At 41.2% G+C, this 19,137-nt stretch overlaps 1 long non-coding RNA gene across 2 annotated transcripts in view; it reads left to right on the top strand.

Moving 5' to 3' along the window:
• LOC105369147 (uncharacterized) overlaps positions 1–11,784 on the top strand; it is a 55,281-nt gene extending 43,497 nt beyond the window's left edge. For both annotated transcript variants that reach the window (NR_148216.1, NR_148213.1), the window contains one exon: positions 8,638–11,784. This is a non-coding gene — a long non-coding RNA (uncharacterized LOC105369147). The remainder of the gene's footprint in view (positions 1–8,637) is intronic.
• The last annotated feature ends 7,353 nt before the right edge of the window (positions 11,785–19,137 follow it).

Raw genomic sequence — 19,137 nt, 5'->3', positions numbered from 1 at the left:
TGCAGAGAGGGTAACCAAACATCCTGGTTTGTCTGGGATTGTTGGAAGGATTTCTGGGGTACTGGACTATATTGCTAAAACCAGTAAAGTCCTGAACAAGCTAGGACAAATTGGGCACTTAGATGCAGCTAAAGTGTTGGGAAATACAAATTTTATTTGTATCTGTTGTACAAATACAACAATGCCTGGCTTGTTGGCAAGGGCTAAAAAGGGTATCTGTGAGTCATGAGTATGAGGTACAATATTATTGAAGCAATGACGAAACAGCAAAATACTTGTTTGTTACAACTTTTCATACATCAATGAAGAATGTGCCAAAATTCTGAGCTTTCAAAAGTGGCTTTTAGTAGTGAGAATTGACAAACTGAGAAAGCATGTTTTGCAGATGAATTTTCACAAGTCATACACTCAGTTTTATAAAATAATTTTTTCTATAACTGAATTTTAATTTTAAATCTCCATTCTGCCTGGTAGGATAATTTAACCCCAGCCATTTTAAAGAAAACATAGTCAAATCAGAATTTTCACTCTCAAATCTGCCTTCCCCCCAACCCCAGTCAGTTCAGGGTTTCTACCACCCTCTGTTCCCTAGATCATGTCTAAATTCTGAGGAGTTTTCACAGAGCCACGTGTTGAGGGAGAGGGAGGCATCTGTCCCTGCTGGCATCTGCGGAGTTGTACATCATCCCTAAAGGAAATTTCTAGAACATCTGGGTTCCCCATCTGGTTTCTGGTAGTTGGTCCAGGAAAGTTACCCCATATCCTTCTCATCTCTGACTTAGTCTTCAAACCTGCTGGCCCCTCTCAGCTACTTTTGAGCCCCTCATAAGGGAGTGTGAAGGCCTTGGGACATTTTGGGTGCTCTTCCAAACTACTGTAGGATCACACGGGATCTCATGGAGTTCTTGCAGGCTTTGCTGCCTAGACATGCCAGGCTGCCATTTCCAGTATGGATATCTCACCAGGCAGGTCAGGAGAAATGCCATGAAGCTTGTTATCTACCAGGCCTCTATCAGGTGCAAGGCACAGGACTTCTCTGGTTTGGATCTGCCAGTCTATCTGAGGTTTCTGGTGCCCCCTCTGGAGGATCTGATGATGACTCTTGGGGCACAGGGACCCGCGTGGGGATGCACAACATCTATTTTCTTTTCATGTCCTTTCTGTTATTTTGCTCATCCTCCAGTCCAAAGAATGTTTATCTCATCTAGGGTTAGAAAATTTGCACCTGCATAATCAAGAATTATTCTCAACTTACACTTAGGTATCAACTTTACCCCCTTGGGTTCTTTAGAGATGTGGCAAGGACTGTTATTTGCAACTCTACATCTATTCTCCCTTTCTGCTTCAGTAACAAGTGCTGGTTTCTTTTTTTGAATCAGCTGTGTGCCCTGCTAAAAAAATTATGTTTTCCAGGCTCCCTTGAAGCCCAGCATGGTCATGTAACTACAATCAGACAAATGAAATATAAGCGTAAGAGTTGCCTGGTACTTCTGAGACGGCTGCGTAAGTGATCTGACTCAGCAGGAAGGTCTTCTCTTTGCCTTTCCCTAGTTCCTATTGCCTCAGATGTAGTTATAATGGTTGGAGCTCTAGCAACCATCTTGTACCAGCAGGTAATCTTGAGGCTGCAAGCTAGTACTAGGAGGTAACTGAAATATAGACAGAGTCTGAATCTCTGATAACCACACCTGCTCTAGCCTATCTACCAGACTTCTTCTACAAGAAAGGGAAATAAACTGTATTCAAGCTTTTCCATTTTCTGTTTTATGCAGGCTAACCAACTCTAAGAGGGATTTGGCTTTTGTTCTTGAAAACTCTTTTCTCTCAAGCTGTTTTTTCAGCCATGGGTCCAAAGATCGACATAGAAACTCAAAAGATAAAATCAGATCCCTTTTGTTTCTTTGCGTTTATATTGCAAGAACCCTTTTCTGAAGGCCACCAAGAGGACATCTTTTTGCTGCCTGAAAAAGTAGAGAGAAAGAAACAAATGCTAATATTTTAAAATGTTCTATCTTCACACATGAAATTTATCTAAGCAGTCACCATGTCTCGGATTAAAATCTGGACTTTAGGGTTTTAAAGATCTAAGAGAGGCCATATAGAAAAATGAAAGATTATCAATACAATTGATGATGTCTGAAAGCAGTGCTATAGGAGTTCGTTTTAAAACAAAAGCTGCAAATAACATTCTGAGCTGCTTCTCCTAGCCCCTTCTTAATACTTGAGTGTTCTCTCATAGCAGCCGCGAGATCATATTTCTTTGTATTGCCTACTGTATTTCACAGTATGTCCCTTAGTTGACATTTGTTTATTGATCTGGGGCTTGTTGGGTTGACTCTTCAATAAATGGCACAAGTCACCAACTTCACAAATAACTTACTGCTCCTCTGTGTTGACAATTATAGCAAATTGTATTCCTTCTTAAGGAAGTGATGGCTATTCAACCATGGTTAACTAGGTTTCCTGAAATAGGTATGTATCACAGGGCATGTCTTTCTTAATTTTATTTTATTTTTGCAAGGTTGTGATTAATTTGGTTACTGAATTTGATGGTATAGATATTGATTTAGCTTGGCAATCTAGAGAAGTATAATTAATTTCAATAAAAATTCAGCAAAGGCATTTATGTTCTATCTCCAAGAATATATCCCCATTTGAAAATCTATTCCTTCCTCTCATTAGATATTCATAAGCCGTAATTTCAAGTTTTATAGTATCAATTATTAAAAACTACACCGATTCTTCGATCAGATACTATCAGTACAATCATGTTGACAAACAGGCCCTATGACTTGTATTTTTCAGGTCAGTCTTTTTTTTTTTGAGACAGAAGCTCACTCTGTCACCCAGGCTGGAGTGCAGTGGCACGATCTTGGCTCACTGCAACCTCCGCCTCCTGCATTCAAGCGATTCTCCTGCCTCAGCCTCCGGAGTAGCTGGGACTACAGGTGCCCACCACCACACCCAGCTAATTTTTGTATTTTTAGTAGAGATGAGATTTCACCATATTGGCCAGGCTGGTCTCGAACTCCTGAGCTTGTGGTCCACCTGCATCAGCCTCCAAAGTGCTGGGATTACAGGCGTGAGCCACTGCGCCCAGCCTCAGGTCAGTCTTGATTTTTATTTAACGAATTTGTACTCCACTCTATTCCACAAACATAATGTCATTCACAAGAACATATACAATAATGCCAAATAAAACTCAAATACAGAATTAAGACAGGGAAGATCAAGAGGAAAAATCAAGATCAGATTAAAAAAAACAACAACAACAAATCTGTAAAACCCAGGAACCTGAGCTGATAATTGCTTCCCATTTGTCTCAGCCTCCAGAAAGCCAAAACAAAAGGAGAAGCTCTGTAAGTCACATACTTTTATTTTTAAAAAGGAAGCAAATAACTTCCTCAGGAGGTACATATTTTGCCCTGAGCACCAGATTCTCAAAGAAATTTATCCTTTGGGACTTCATAGGGGACCAGGAGGTGCAGAATGGACAAAATTGTGACTCACTTTCCTTTTACTTTAAACCAAAGCTGAGGAAATAATGCTTAAAATTCAGTGAGTGATCTCCCAAATTGGCGTTCAAGGGAACAATGTTCTGGAAGATATTTATAGAAAAGTCATTTAAAAAAATGCGTTCCGTACTCAAATAAGTTTGGGAACCACTGAATTAATCAAAGTCAAGCAGGTTTCTTAATAATAGGTTTTTTGTTTTTTTTTGGAAACTGACGTTTTGATATGCTTTGTGGTTCTCTACAAAAAGGGAATACAAAACTCTGTGTTCTTAGAACTTAACTTACCACCAAAACATTTCTGCTGAGGCATATCTATGAATAATATCTGAGTTCTGTGACACATGGTTTGGGAAGGATGAGACGTGGTGAACTGATGCAGATACAGTGATGGGAGGGCGCTTCAGTGCTCTTGTGAGTAAGAGCATGTGTGTTGGTGCTGGGCAGATGTGGGTACAAATCCTGTTTCTAGCATCTACTGGCCACAGGACTTTGGAGAAATTACCCAAACTCACTGAGCTTTAGTTTCCTTATTCATAAAATGAAGTGTATCAATTTGAAACGTGTTTGGCTCCAAGAATGAAAAAATCTATCAGAATTACTTAGGGGGTTATTTTTCTGATATAATAAGTCCAGGGTCAGGCCATCCATGGCCAATGCAGCTATTCATGGATGTTTTCTGGGTCCAGGCTCTTTCTGTATTTCTGCTTTATATATATATATATATATATATATATAAAGAGAGAGAAGGTTAAGTGAGATAATGTAAGTAAAGTGCTTATATAATGCCTAGCACTAGTTAGTGCTCAATAAACATCAGTTGTTAATATGTATAGGCAGCCTTGGATTCAATGTGATACAAGTCTGTAATTTAGAGTACCTGGAAAGGTGAAAAACTGTATATTCTTCAGCCAATAACAAGTATCTATCTTTTTTATTGGGGAGGCTTTTGATAGAAGCAGACCAGACTGTTTGATGCTACTCTCTCTTGCAAGGCTCTGGAATACTGGTAGATAGAGACCCTGTTTGACAGCAGATGTCCTAGAAACCAGACAGTGAAGAGGAAGGCTGGCATCCTATTGCACCAGGGAGGAACCCACCAGTACTCTCCTCAAGAAGAGACCCATTCCATCTTTGCATGGAGGCATGCCAAGGAGTTCCTAGGCCAGAATTTGATTAGGAAGCAATTTTGAGGACAAAGCTTGGCCAAGTCTAATACATTTCTATCACTGAATGTAGTCAAGCTGATGCAGGGAAGGCTCAATTCTAAGTGTTCTGTCCCCTTGTCAGACCATGGATATAACGTTGTATCCTGACTTTTGGGTTACAAAATACAATAACTGTATATGGAAATAACATTTTGAAATACAAATTAAAAATATATATTATTTATATATCCAATATTATCTCATGGCTATGTGGAGGTGATTTAATACTTTTTTGAGTCATTTTGGGAAATATTGAGATACATATCACTCATATTAGGAGAAGTGCATTGGCAATTAGAGGGGAAAGAAAGAAAGGTATCACAAAAATAACTTGGACTAAATATCATCTAGGAAATGAAATGCAGTCTAGTATGGTGATGAGGAGGAAGAAGAGGGTGATGACATCAGCACCTACCATGTGCCAGACACTGTTTTAAGTGCTTTCCATACCATATGTCATCAATTATAAATATGTGATTTTCCCCATATTTTTAACATCAATAGCTCACTACTTGGAGTGGTCGTTTTGTGTCCAGCACTAACACTTCATCCTCACATCACATCTGTGATGTAGATGCTATTATTATTCTCATTCCAAAGATGAGGAAACTGAGGCTTAGCAAGATAGCAACATGGCTAGTAATTTGGAAGCTGGGATTAGCATACACATTTGTGCTGCTTGTGAGCCAAAGCTCTTAGTCAATACTATATGACATAAAATATATTTATATTTTAACTTTTATAAGGAAATTTTACCCCATCGTGTGTGTGTGTGTGTGTGTGTGTGTGTGTGTGTGTGTGTGTGTATGAATTGGAGATTTATTTATAAGTTGAGCATTGCTCTGCTGAAGACAGTCTAGATGAAATGACCCAGGTTCCCTTCTAGCTATTTAATTTAAAAAAATTAGTATCTAATATCTACATCCTTAAAAAGAGGGAAAAGGCAGGGTGTAGTGGCTCATGCCTGTACTCCCAGCACTTTGGGAGGCTGAGGCAGAAGGATCAACTGAGCCCAGAAGTTCAAGACCAGCCTGGGCAACAAAGCAAGACCCTGTCCCCATTTTTTAAAAAAGGAGAGGGGAGGTGAGGAAAGAAAGCAATACAACGAGTCATTCCCTGTGCTAGGCTAGCTCCTAATTTGTTAGTGCTAAGAGGAAAAGGATCTGACCCAGAATTACCAAATTCTTAGACTCTTGGCTCAGCTGGTTTCCAACAAAGCAATCAGTTGGGCCCAGTTCCACATTACCCGGTTTATCTCAAGCATTGGAGCATGTCTTTCTTTCCACTCTCCCCAAACCTGCTCTTCCTCACTCTTCTGTTCTTTTGAATTCTTTGTTCCAATTGCCCTCAGCCTGTCCAGGGGTTTTTCTGGCATCTTGAGCTTTTTACCAGAGAAGATCACCTTGAGCCCTCAAAGCTATAGCACGGAGCATGAGTCATGTTCTTGCTCACAGGGTTTTTGTTATTTGCTGATGGCCTGGATGGCATCGTCTTTCTTCACAGCTTTTATTTTAAGACATTTAGAAAGCAATCTCAGGCTCTTTCTTGGCAGGTGGTATAGAGGAAATGTACCTGATAGCAATAATGTAAGCATACCCTGATCATGACCCTATATGGCAGATACACCCGAATGACTGTTTCAAGCTATAGAATCTGGGAGTGGCCAACCCTGAGATTTGCTCCTTGTCTATGAAGAATATCTAAGCCCCTGTCTCATCCTGTGGAACATAGGCCATGCAGGGGATTGAGGCCCTGAGTTTTGGGTTATATGAAGGTTGCCAAGTGGAGGTTGTTAAGGGGAGGGTGTTAAGTGAAAATACTACGTACACTGGATGTTTGCAAGCCATTGCAATTTTCCTGTCCAGCCCACTGCCACTGGACTGCAGGAAGGTGGGATACATTGTCCAGCCCACCGCCACTGGGCTCTCTCTGCTGTTTGTGAGCCCCTAATAAAACCCCATGTCTCATGTCCTGGCTCAGGATCTCTTCTTTGGCCTCTTGAACATGGAAGCTTCTTTGTTGAGGTTAATAAGGGTTCAGCACAACACGGGGGCAAAATAGGAGTTTAGGAGGAACAGGTGGAGTATCTTCAATAAATTATCTTTTGTGAATGTTGTAAATACAACTGTGGAGTTGTAAATTTCCTACTAATAGCCAATATTAGAGAACAAATAAAGTGCATGGAACAGAATATCCAAGTGATTTTTCATATCTGAAAACACCTCAGGAAAACTTTATTGAATATTAAATTTAAAATATAGATTCTACAGTATGGTACCAGAAGGTTTAATTTTAAAAAAGGAAACTGTACCAGAATGTTCTGAGAGCTGCGATTATGGAACTGTGATTTGCAACCCTTGTATGATTATTCATCACATAGAAAATTGAGATTTGACCTCATCCTCCTTATTCTCTACTTTGATCAACACCAAATCTACCTTCACTTCAATTCCAAGCACTAGGTCCATAGGGTTTCCCCCGTTTCCCTCAAGGATTAGCACTTGAATCTTAAAAATGATCAAGTATAAAAGGGGAGGATGAGCACCTATATTTATAGCATACCTATTCTGTGCCAGGCAATTCATGTTTTACATATGCCGGTTACCTCATTTAATCTTTAATACCGCCCCTTAAACACTACCTGTATAAAGCTGTTCTTGTGTTGCTATAAAGAAATACCTGAGACTAGGTAACTTTTAAAGAATAGAGGTTCAGTTGGTTCATGGTTCTGCAAGCTGTACAAGCATGTTGCTGGCATATGCTCCACTTCTGGGGAGGCCTCAGGGAGCTTTTACTTATGGCAGAAGATGAAGCAGGAGCAGCAGTGATTGCGGGAGGTGCCACACTTTTAAACAACCAGCTCTTGTGAGAACTCACTCACTAGCTCAAGGACAGCACCAGGCCATGAGGAATCCACTCCCATGACCCAAACACCTCCCACCAGGCCCACCTCCCAGCTTGGGGATTAAATTTCAACATGAGATTTGATGGGGACATATATTCGAACTATATGACTACTCCATCTTCCTTTTGACAGAGGAGGAAATTTAGGCTTAAAATCATTAAGTAATTCCCCCCAAATCACACAACCAATTAGTGGTAGAGCAGGGATTTGAACCGAAGTCTGTCCAACCCCAAAGCCTGCATTATGTTCTCTCTATTAGTGGTTCCACACCCCAGCTTCAGATTAGAATCACCTGTGAAGATTTTAATACAATGCTGACACCTTGACTTTCACCCCAAAGCAATTAAGTCAGAATCTCTGAGATTGTGTGTGGCTTAACTATTGCTTTAAAAATCCCCAGATTATTCTAATGTGCAGCTATGGTTGAAAAATCTCTATTCTAAACTTAATGTTAAATGTCAAAGTTGGAGAATGAACACATTATTATGGATCTAATACTTACGTATGACTAATGTGTGACAACCCAATTGTTTATGATAAAAATTACCCTGACACATACCAAAAGAGCTTTACTTCCCATTGTATTTGCTGCTGCTAGAAATGTAATCAACATTGTTCTCTCCAACTTGAATTCCGAGTAGGAACTGAGCACAAAGACTCAAACCATTTTCTCCAGGTTACCTCCTTAGTAAATGGAGAAATTGGCAGGTGAATAAGGGAATTTTCAGTCTTTTGTGTGTTTCCCAGGGCTCCTCTTGAAACTGGAGTGGGTTAGAAATTGTTTTCCAATGAAGAATATCTTCAGCACTTTGTTTCAACACCTATAGTTCTGAAGGACTTCATAAAAGCTAAGAAAATTATGCTCCAGCTTGTAACTAAAATTTGCTGAGAAGGAAAAAAGAGCTAACAAATTCTACCACCTTTGGATGCATACAGTTGGAAGCTGATTGCAGGAAGACATTGCTTATGGCAGGAAGACATTGAAGTTTCTCACGTTATCTTCCTTTCTCAGGATCTTCTAAGGGTGTGAGGATACAGGCGTCAAAGACCCCGTGCTGAGACAGCTCCATAACAACATGCAGATATTTGGCAATGAGGGTTCAGAAGAGGACTTGCTGTGGAGAAGAGAGAAAAGAGATGGGAAGACTCTGTGAATGAATAGAGAACACTCTGCAAGCATCCCAGTTCCTTTGGTTGCCCTGCAGTCTGCAGGTACCAGGAGAAATCAAAAGCCGCCTGGAAGGGCTTTCTGTCTGTATGGAGTCAAGGCAGTGTCTTCAAATCTGTGCTTTCTAAAACAAAGAAATAACCTTGATGAAACAAATTTTCCCCAGAGGAAGGGGAGAGCCCACAGTGAGCTGGTAAAGAAGATGCCTGGAGCAGGCAGCATCCTCAAATGGAAGGTAATTGCCCTCAAATCACTTAACTAGGATGACCTACTTTGCTTTCCTGTATAGCCAGGTCTGTTATCAGACCCTTATCTTGGGAGGCATCGTGCCAGAGCCTGGGGCAAGAAAGGGCTGCTATCCAGGAATGCAGGTGAAATTATAGCTATTAGCCCTGTCTTAGAGTGTGAGGAAAATGTGCCCCCCTACCCCTGGCTAAGTTTGGGTTCCCATGTCATAAACTGCCTCCCTCTCTGATAGCTCTGCATAAACATCCCAGGAACTCAAAGTAACATTTGATTTCCCAAAGAGAACATTTGCATTTGTAACTGTCAGAAATAGGAGAGATCATCAAAGCTAAATGAATTGGGCTATAAACAGTTTGAAATATGTCTTTAAATTTTAAAAAACATATTTTTTGTTTGTTTTGGGGAGAGAGGATCATTTAGACTCAACAACAAAACAGAAAACTGTGAGTGCCATTTTGAGACAAGACCTACCTGGTCCTTCCCCCTCATACTTTCTGCTACCCCGTGACCTCCCTCTCTCCTTCCAGTCACAGATTATCCGCTTGGTTTTGGAGTTTTAAATGTGTGGTCCTGAGAGGGAGAGGAGAGCAAGAGAATCTCAAGATAGATTTGGAAGATTAGGGTAAGACAGTGAGGGTACTAGAAGTGCTTTCCCAAGTGAGTCCCCAGAAGGGAGGGAAAATATCCATGGAGAAGGGGCAGTGTGGTTGGTCCTGGCTAAAGGGCCTGAACAGCAGAGGCTATTGCAGCCCTGCATAGCACAGGGCAATGGAATAACTTCATAGGCCCCCAAACTGCATGGAAGCAGATAGGGTCTTAGAAGCACGGGGTTGCTTTCCTGGACCTGGTGTGGCTTGGAAGCCACAAAATGTTTCCTGTGCACCTACAAGAGTGTAAGAAAACCACTGGATAGGAAAGGACCTTGCAGACTGGAATGAGTCATCATGCAGACCAAAGTCTACCTCAGTGGATGGCAGTGTGGATGGATAGGGACAGATGTCCGGATACTGTCTGTCGTGTGCACTCCCACCCCAGCCTTTTGGTATTCCTGGTACAAAGATATAACTCTTAGGAAAAACAGAAACCCTAAATAGGCTGAGATTAAGTTTCTTTCACCTGGAAGAATGAAGACTATGGTAGATTTTGAGTTATAAAACTCAAATTTTTGCATTTCTTGAACACCTAAGTCTATGGACTGATATTAGCACCAGCTGCAGAAATAAGCACAGTTCTCACCACTTTTCAATTTGAATGCAGAAGGAGCCTTGTCTGGCCATAGCTCTGCCCTCTACAGTGGAAAACATAACTTTAGTGGAATTTAGAGATCTTTGAGTAAAGACAGAAGAATAGCAAAGTCTGTTATTTACCACCTCACTTTTTTTGTACAAATATTTGAAAGCATTTTCGCATTATACAATACAATTTGTTTCTATTTTGAGGCAAACACATCTGTTAGAGGAATTATTGCATTTCTTCCCCCTAGAAAGCTGTCTCCTTAATCTTTCCACAAAGTCTTGAGAATGTTAGCTTCTTTTTCTACATTGTTGGAAATCACAGCGTGGTGTTCCTCCTGACGGCACTCCCACCTTCATCATTCTGTGCTTACAGTTTCACCACATTCCATTGTTCTAATGAGGTGACTGAGTGGAAGCTGAGGTTAGAAGATAAAACTTAGAACAGGAGCAGCCCTTGGCTCCTTTCCCTTGGAGGGTGCTTCAAAAGAGGTGAAGTTTTCAAAGATAGAACTTCAGGGAGAGGGTTTTGTGTTCCGGCTTCGAAGTGGCAATTCTTTCCTGAGTTGTCACCTGGACTATCTTACCATATTTCCTGGTTGAATGATTCCTCTAAATCTTATCTTAGCCTGGCCAAATATCCCTGGTCCCTTTGATATCTAAGTTTTCTGGCCAAGAAGCAAATTCCTGTAGTTCCAAATCAGTAGCTCAAGTTCCTGGGTCAGACTACCCGCAGGCCCTCAAGTTGCTGTCTGGTTGTCGTCTAAAAAGTTGATGTCACAGGCCAGTTGATATCAAAGAGTCCTGGGTTTAAAAACTGACTCAGGACTTCTAATTGTAAGGCCTTACACAAGTTATGTGACAATTCTTAACCTAAGTTTCCTCAGCTATAAAGTGGGGATTATAGCAATATCCCACAATACCTCTGACAATGAAATAATGTGTATATATTGCTTGGCACCGGATATGGTTTGGATCTGTATCCCCATCCAAATCTCATGTTGAAATGTAATCTGTTATGTTGGAGGTGGGACCTGGTGGGAGGTGATTGAATCATGGGGGTGGTTTCTAATGGTTTATCACTGTCTCCCTAGAGCTGTTCTCATGATAGAGTTCTCGTGAGATCTGGTTGTCTAAAAGTGTGTGGCACCTCCCCACCCCACTTTTCCTCCTGCTCCAGCAATGTTCAATGTGCCTGCTTCCTGTTCACCTTCTGCCATGATTGTAAGTTTCCTGAGGCCTCCCCTGCCATGCCTCCTGTACAGCCTGTGGAACTATGAGCCAATTAAACCTCTTTTCTTTATAAATTGCCCAGCCTCAGGTATTCTTTATAGCAGTACAAGAACCAATACAGCACCTAATAGGCATTCAACAAATAGTAATTCCCTGCTCCTTCTGCCTAAGCAGACATGCATGGGTTTGTGTATCTAAACTGTAGGACTTTACAAAGACTAAAATGGAATTTTTTGAGGCATTTCACTATAATCAATAAAATAAAGTATTTGTAATCATGTTTATTTATCTGCTGATTTCCTATTATGTATTTATCACATTATATTTTAGCTGTCTGATTATGTTATGAGATCGTTCAAGGTTGGAACTCTGTCTAAAATTCTCTATAAATCTCCAGGACTTAAAAAAACACTCAGTGAATGCTTGATAAGTGAACAAATGAATTAATAGATTCCTAATTAGGCATTTAGATGATGGATTTTGCTAATGCCCTTGTCCCATAAGTACTTTAATAAATAATTGTTGAGGACATAGAATGCTCAACATAATGTGTCCTATGATGCTAAGGTCCTTACAATAAAGTGGAGGATCCTAATCACTTACTAGACAAGCACAGGAACTTCTATAACATGAATAGATTGGTACCATAAACTATATATAGAGAGACGGGGCATTTAGCAGAGGGAGAGATTACATTTGGTTGAGGGATTAAGAAAACTTTCATTGCAGAATGAGGTAGCAATGGAACTGAACCTCAGAAGGTGAATGAGTGTGACAACAGTGACGAGAGGGATGCTCCAGTGGACATTTTTGCCTAAGGCACAGTGTGATGGGTGTCCAGAGGGCTGCCAGTAGCCTGGTGTGTAGCACAAAGTATGTGCAAGTTGGTTAAAGCTGCAGACAGAGGGAGGGTTTTGAAAACCAGCCAGACTGAGAAATTGGGTAAGTCTGGCAATGAGAGTTACTAAAAATTTAGAGCAAGGAAGTTTCAGTTTTAATTAACATTTATGGAGTGCCTTCATTTTACAGATTAGGCAAATGAAGTTCAGACAAGTTAAATGATTTGCCCAAAGTCAGACGGATTGAAAGTGACAGAGCTAGAATTCTACTGGAGTCTCTTGACTCCAAGATCAATACTCCCAGCACACCACAGCCACTCCTCTCGCTGCGCAGCAGGATAGGCTGAACTGCAGCGAGGGTGACTGAAGGTAGGGATCCCAGCTGAGAGGAATGAGAGATGTTTCCTTTACATTCAGGCACTGAATCACTGCCACAAGCAAAGCAACCTCAAACATAAGACGATCTCCCGTCTTCCCAATGAGAGGATCCAAAAAGATCTGATCTGAATATAGAAACTGACTGGAAGTGATGGAAGGAGCCAGATTTTGAAGTAAATATGGAGGAAGCCAGTCTTAGTAAAGTCTAAATCTTAACAGGTACAAAAATACAGTTAGAGAAAAGGCATAGGTCCTGATATTTGATAGTACAGTAGGGATATTATATTTAACAATAATTTATTGTGTATTTCAGAATAGCTGGAAGAGAAGAATTGTAATGTTCCCAACACAAAGAAAAGATCAATGTTTGAGGTGAAGGATATTCCAGTGACCCTGATTTGATCATTAGACATTGAAGACAGGCATCAAAATAGCACTGGCATTCCCAAAATATGTACAACTATTATATATAAATAAAAATTTTAAAATTTAAAAAGCATTAATGATGAAGGCAGCAAGTGCTATAATCAGATTTGCATTTTAAAAAGATAATTTTGTCATCAGTGTGGAGCCTGGATTAGAGGCAAAGTGGGAGATAAAGAACGCAGTAGACTTCTATAGAAATCCAGGGGTTTTGGTGGCCTGTGCTAAGGTGGTGGTTGTGAGACATGAGAGGAAAAGACAGGTATAAAAGGCATTTGGGAAGTGTGGGAGAAAAGATTCCATCAGAGAGGGAGAAAGGAAGGTCAAGGGTGACTCCAGAGTTTCTGTTTTGAGCAATTTTGTGTATAGTGGGTCATTGAATGTCAGATGCAAGGCACGTTGATGAGGACAAATTTATAGAGCTAAGAAACTGGAGTGGTATCAGGAAGGGAGAGATAAAGGGGAGAGAAAAGATGTGATAGCAACATAAACAGAAGAGTCAGGAGGAGTGGCTGAGTTCAGGGAGATGCTGAGCTCAGTTTGAGGCACTTTATTCTCTCCTGCCCCTCTCCCTCCAGCTGAGATTTCAGCTTTGTCTTGAGAGTTAATCATGTGCCACCATCAAAAATATTGTCTTTCTTGCTCTGATTATTCCAGGAGGAGCAAGAAAACATGGTAATTACCACTTTGTAATTTCCTCTCCGAAAAAGCTAAGTCTTCTTCCAAATGAACATAATATTTCATTGACATAGAAAAGAATGAAAACAATCTTCTCTTGAAAACAAGAATAAATAAAGCACTCACAGCAATCAATCACTTCCAGGTTGCCAAAGGAGAAAATGGTTAGGTGATCACTGGCCTAGGAATAGGGTGATCAACCCTCCTTGGCTGCCTGGAACTTCCATGGTTTTAGCACTGCAAGTCCTGCACCTTGGAATCCCTCAGTGGTATTAGATTTGGATTCTAATCCTGATTCTATTGCTGATTCACTGTGAAAACAGATACGTCTATTCTGAGCATAGTTCCCTCATCTACAGAATGAGGGGAAAGGGCTTCTTTATATTCTCTCCCGTGATGAGCTCTTGCAGTCCCACGAATCATGTATTGCCAATGACTGCTGAGAGACCACCTGCTCTCATCCCTAAGCTACAGACTTGAATTTCCAACTGCCTACTCGACATCTCCACCCAAATGTCCAATAAACATTAAACACTTTCATGCCCAAACAGAACTCTTTTTTGTTTGTTTTTTGAGATAGGGTCTCACTCTGTCACCTGGGTTGGAGTGCAGTGTCATGATCATGGCTCACTGCAGCCTCAAATTCCTGGGCTCAGGTGATCCTCCTACCTCAGCCTCTCAAGTAGCTGGGACTATAGGTGCATGCCACCACACCCAGCTAATTTTTCCTTTTCTGTTTTTTGTGGAGACAGGGTTTCACCATGTTGCCCAGGCTGGTCTCGAGCCATCTGCCTCGGCCTCCCAAAGTGTTGGGATTATAGGCATGAGCCACTGTGCCTAGGCCCAAAGAGAACTGTTGATTTTCTCTCCCAAACCTATTCTTCCCCATACCTTCTATTTCCCACAAAATGACATCAACCAAATATCTAGGAATCCTCTTTGATTTTCTCATCTGCTCTCTGTAACAATTCCAGGCCAAAACAGCAAGTTCTGTCAGTTCAACCTCTAAAATGTATCCCAAATCCATCTACTTCTGCTAACAGTAGTTAGAGGGATCCTTTAAAAATAAAAACTCGGCCGGGCGCCGTGGCTCACGCCTGTAATCCCAGCACTTTGGGAGGCCAAGGTGGGAGGATCACCTGAGGTTGGGCATTCAAGACCAGCCTGGCCAACATGGAGAAACCCTGTCTCTACTAAAAATACAAAATTAGCCAGGTGTGGTGGCGCATGCCTGTAATCCCAGCTACTCAGGAGGCTGAGGCAGGAGAATTGCTTGAACCCAGGAGGTGGAGGTTGTGGAGAGCCGAGATCACGCCATTGCACTCCAGCCTGGGCAACAAGACCAGAACTCTGTCTCAAAAATAAATAAATAAAAATAAAATAAATAAATAAATAAATAAATAAATAAATAAATAAAAACTCTAACTCCTGTTCTTTGTCTTTCGAAGATCTCAAATAAAAAACTGTTTTAGAAGCATCTCTTGTTTAAAGGGATTTAATTTAACTTTCTTTGCCCACTCAATTGATGTATTTGAATATACATATTTACTTGGGTCTTTCCTGGATCTACAGGGAGTGTTGCTGGCCTTGTCACACTGCTGGGTATGAGTATTATGTCTGCCTGGAGAACAACATTGTATATTTGATGCTAACTTTTAGGCAGTTTATCTGTACAAAGGAAAGATGTGAAAGCCCCAAATTCACTGCCCTACAACTCCTAACAAATCACATCTTTACATCCAAAGTCATGTCTCACTTGCCGATTACCAGTTTGGGGAAAACTACCCGCCAAAGAGTCTGCAAATGAAAGATGTCAAGTTTAAAGGGACATCATAAAGTTCCTAGAGCCCAAACCAACTAAAGAGATTTCTTCCTCTACATTATCTGGAGTCAGTGCTTCTTCCCAGAACCAACAAGTACATGCTCCTTAGGATGGTTTCTTGAAGATATTACTTTCCTCACCCCAGGGATGTCTAAGGTCCATTTTGTGTTAGACAAGAAGTGCTTATCTTGAAAACAGGTTCATTTTGTGGTGGATGAGAACAAAGTACTTAAATAAAGGGCCAGCCTTCTGGTACATTTACCCTTGAGAGCTGAATTTTCTATGCCAGGCTTGCTCATGTCCTGAAAATTTCAGGGCTGAATCACAGTTCAACAATAATAACCTTGTGTTTACCTTCCTATGCTAGAGACTGTGCTAAGTGCTTTATCAATATATCCTTACTAAATCCTCCCGATATCATGAGATATTTTGAGCCTCATTTTCTAAATGGGCAAAAGGGAACATGGGGAACTGAAATGACTTGCCAAGGTTACAAACCTAGTAGGTGGTGTAGCTGGCATTCAACCCAGGAAGTCTGACTTAAGGCTGCCTTATGGAATTTTTGAGACATGAATTCCATCTGTGCTCTGCTGAGCCAGTGATTCTCAAACCTGGCTGTACATCAGGACCATCTGGGGAATTTTTAAACATCTTGATTCTAGGTTGTACCCCAGACCAGTTAAGCCAGAATCTCTAGGAGGTGGGACCCAGGCAGCAATAGTTTTTAAACCTCCTCAGGTGATTCCAATGTGCAGCCATATTGCCAGTCAGTGTGCTATACAATCATGATTCTTTCCACCTGTTATTTTTTAATTTTATTTTTTTTTTGAGGTGGAGTCTCACTCTCTTGCCCAGGCTGGAGTGCAGTGATGCGATCTCGGCTCACTGCAACCTCTGCCTCCCAGGTTCAAGCAATTCTCCTGTCTCAGCCTCCTGAGTAGCTGGGACTACAGGCGCACACCACCATGCCTGGCTAATTTTTGTATTTTTAATAGAGACAGGGTTTCATCATATTGGTCAGGCTGGTCTTGAACTCCTGACCTCAGGTGATCCATCCACCTCGGCTTCCCAAAGTGCTGGGATTACAGGTGTGAGCCACTGTACCTGGCCTCCACCTGTTATTTTTTAAAACTAGAAAATAATTATATTTGTTGCTTTCCACAAGCAATAGTTAAGAGGCCAATGAGTACAAGACATTGTATACCTCCTATATTTGCATTTCCTTTCTCTTTGGGGACTCAGCTAGCTCAGGCCTTCACTTTCCTATTCAAGAAGGAAGAGGAAAAAGTGATTACTATGGTACCTAGATAATGCTTAGATTTGTAATATGTTTTAGAAAAAAAAACAAATTTATTAGTATTATCTTCAAATGAATTTTAATATTGTGGCACAACTGGAAAGACTGCTACTGCTTTATTACTGTTAAGAAAAAAAAGAAACAAAGCTGAAATTTTGCATAATTGTGTCTAGGGTGCTATAATTGATCCTAGAGAGGCACTGACAACTTGGAAGTGCCAAGATGTGATGCTATACAAAGGGCTGTGAAGTTACTTGCACAGTGACAAAAAGGAAATGAATATTTATGGAGCACTTACTCATGGTTTAACAGACAGAACATGGGTTTTCATAGACAGGCAGACATGGGTTCAAATCCCAACTCTGCAATTTACTAGCTGTGTTTGTTTTGGTTTTGTTTGTTTTTATTTTTTAAGACAGAGTCTCACTCTGTTGCCCAGGCTGATGAGCAGTTGCGCCATCTCAGCTCACCACAACTTCCGACTCCCGGGTTCAAGCGATTCTTGTGCCTCAGCCTCCCGAGTAGCTGAGATTACAGGCATGTGCCACCACGCCTGGCTAATTTTTGTATTTTTAGTAAAGACAGGGGTTTCACCATGTTGTCCAGGCTGGTCTTGAACTCCTGACATCAGGTGATCTGCCCTCCTGGGCCTCCCAAAGTGCTGGGATTACAGGCGTGAGCCACCATGCCTGGTCGGCCTTGGGCCTTTAAGTCTCCATTTCCTCATCTGTAAAGTGGGAGCTGAGAAGCCTTACCTGGCAGGACTGTATGATTGATGAGATAGTGTGCGAAGCATCTAGTATAGTATCGACGCATGGCGATAATTATGATCAGGTGGCAGACACCATGTTATCCACATTTGTTATCTCCCTTTATCTTCACAATACACCCTCAAAAATATGGTATTATTTTCATTGATGGAGGTAAGCCCTGAGAGACTCCACAATTTGCCCCAAGGCACAGAGCCATGAAACATCCAGTTAGGATTGGTCTTCTGTACCTGAAGCCTGTGAAGGCTGGCTGCCATACCTTGCTTCACAGGCCATCCCATAGCTGATGTATTTATTAGAACAGAGGGAGGGAGTCTCTGGATAATGGAATCAAATTTAAAAGGCAAACAAATTTTCAGCTATCTTCCAAGCACATGACAATGTTATGAAAAAGTCTATTTGGCTCAGAAAGGGCACTATCATTTACCCCTTTTCCTTTTAAGGTGGAGCTCTACCTGGAGAACACCCATCTAAGAAACTGAAATTGCAAAGCTCCCTCTGGCTTAAGTACTCCTAGCCTTAGCTCTATGCTGAGCTAAAAAAACAAAACAAAACAAAACAAAACAAAAACCTGGGTGAGCCATTGTCTAATCACATCACATGCACATTCCCAAGAGAATTAAGCATAAATTTTTTCTGCTGCTGGTTTTTATGGTCTCCCATGAGAGACCATAACAATTCAAATTGTGAGACATTTTGAAGTAATTTAAGAAGAATCAAATATTGCTGAAATAATTTGGGAGCTCACTGCAAGGGAACTTGGGAAATATAGCCAAGCTGGGTTCCTAGGAAGGAAGAGAATGGGCTTTAGGGAATAGGTACAAAATCCCTGCCACACAGGCCATCCAAGGGGAGGTGTGCAATGGTCATTTGGAAATATGGCATAGGAGCTTGGGATAGAGTGGAAATAGCATCTAAATTGTTGAGGCCATGGGATCAGATGAACTTGTTAAGGAAAACTGGGTAGAGTCTGAAGAGGAAAGGTTGAAAAGGGAACCTTGAGGAATACCAGAAATTAAGGGACAGGCAGAGGAAGAGGAATCAGCAAAGGAGACTGACAAAGAGTAGAATCAGAAAGACGGGGGTGACCAAAAGCAGGGTAGCATTTCCAAATGCAAAAGTTGACAAAACTTTGAGGAAACCCATCCTAGGGCTGCCCTAAGAAAATACCACAGAACAGTGGGCTTTAAAAATGAAAATTTATTTTAACAGATGCAGAGAGGTCCAGCAGGATGAGGACTTAGATGGTGTCATTGACTTTGGCAATTAGAGTATTCGTGACCCTAGAGTGTAGTTTCAGTTGGAGTAGTGGAATCAGAAGTGAGATGGTAGAGGCCTGAGAAGGAAATGCAAAGTGATGAAGTGGAGCTATGGAGCAGAGGGCTCACTGACAGTGGAAGACGTTTCTGGCATCCCAAGCAACTAC

This window comes from Homo sapiens, chromosome 8, assembly GCF_000001405.40.
Source record: "Homo sapiens chromosome 8, GRCh38.p14 Primary Assembly".
NCBI classification, from domain to species: Eukaryota; Metazoa; Chordata; class Mammalia; order Primates; family Hominidae; genus Homo; species Homo sapiens.
This window is presented reverse-complemented; position numbering and strand designations above follow the sequence as displayed.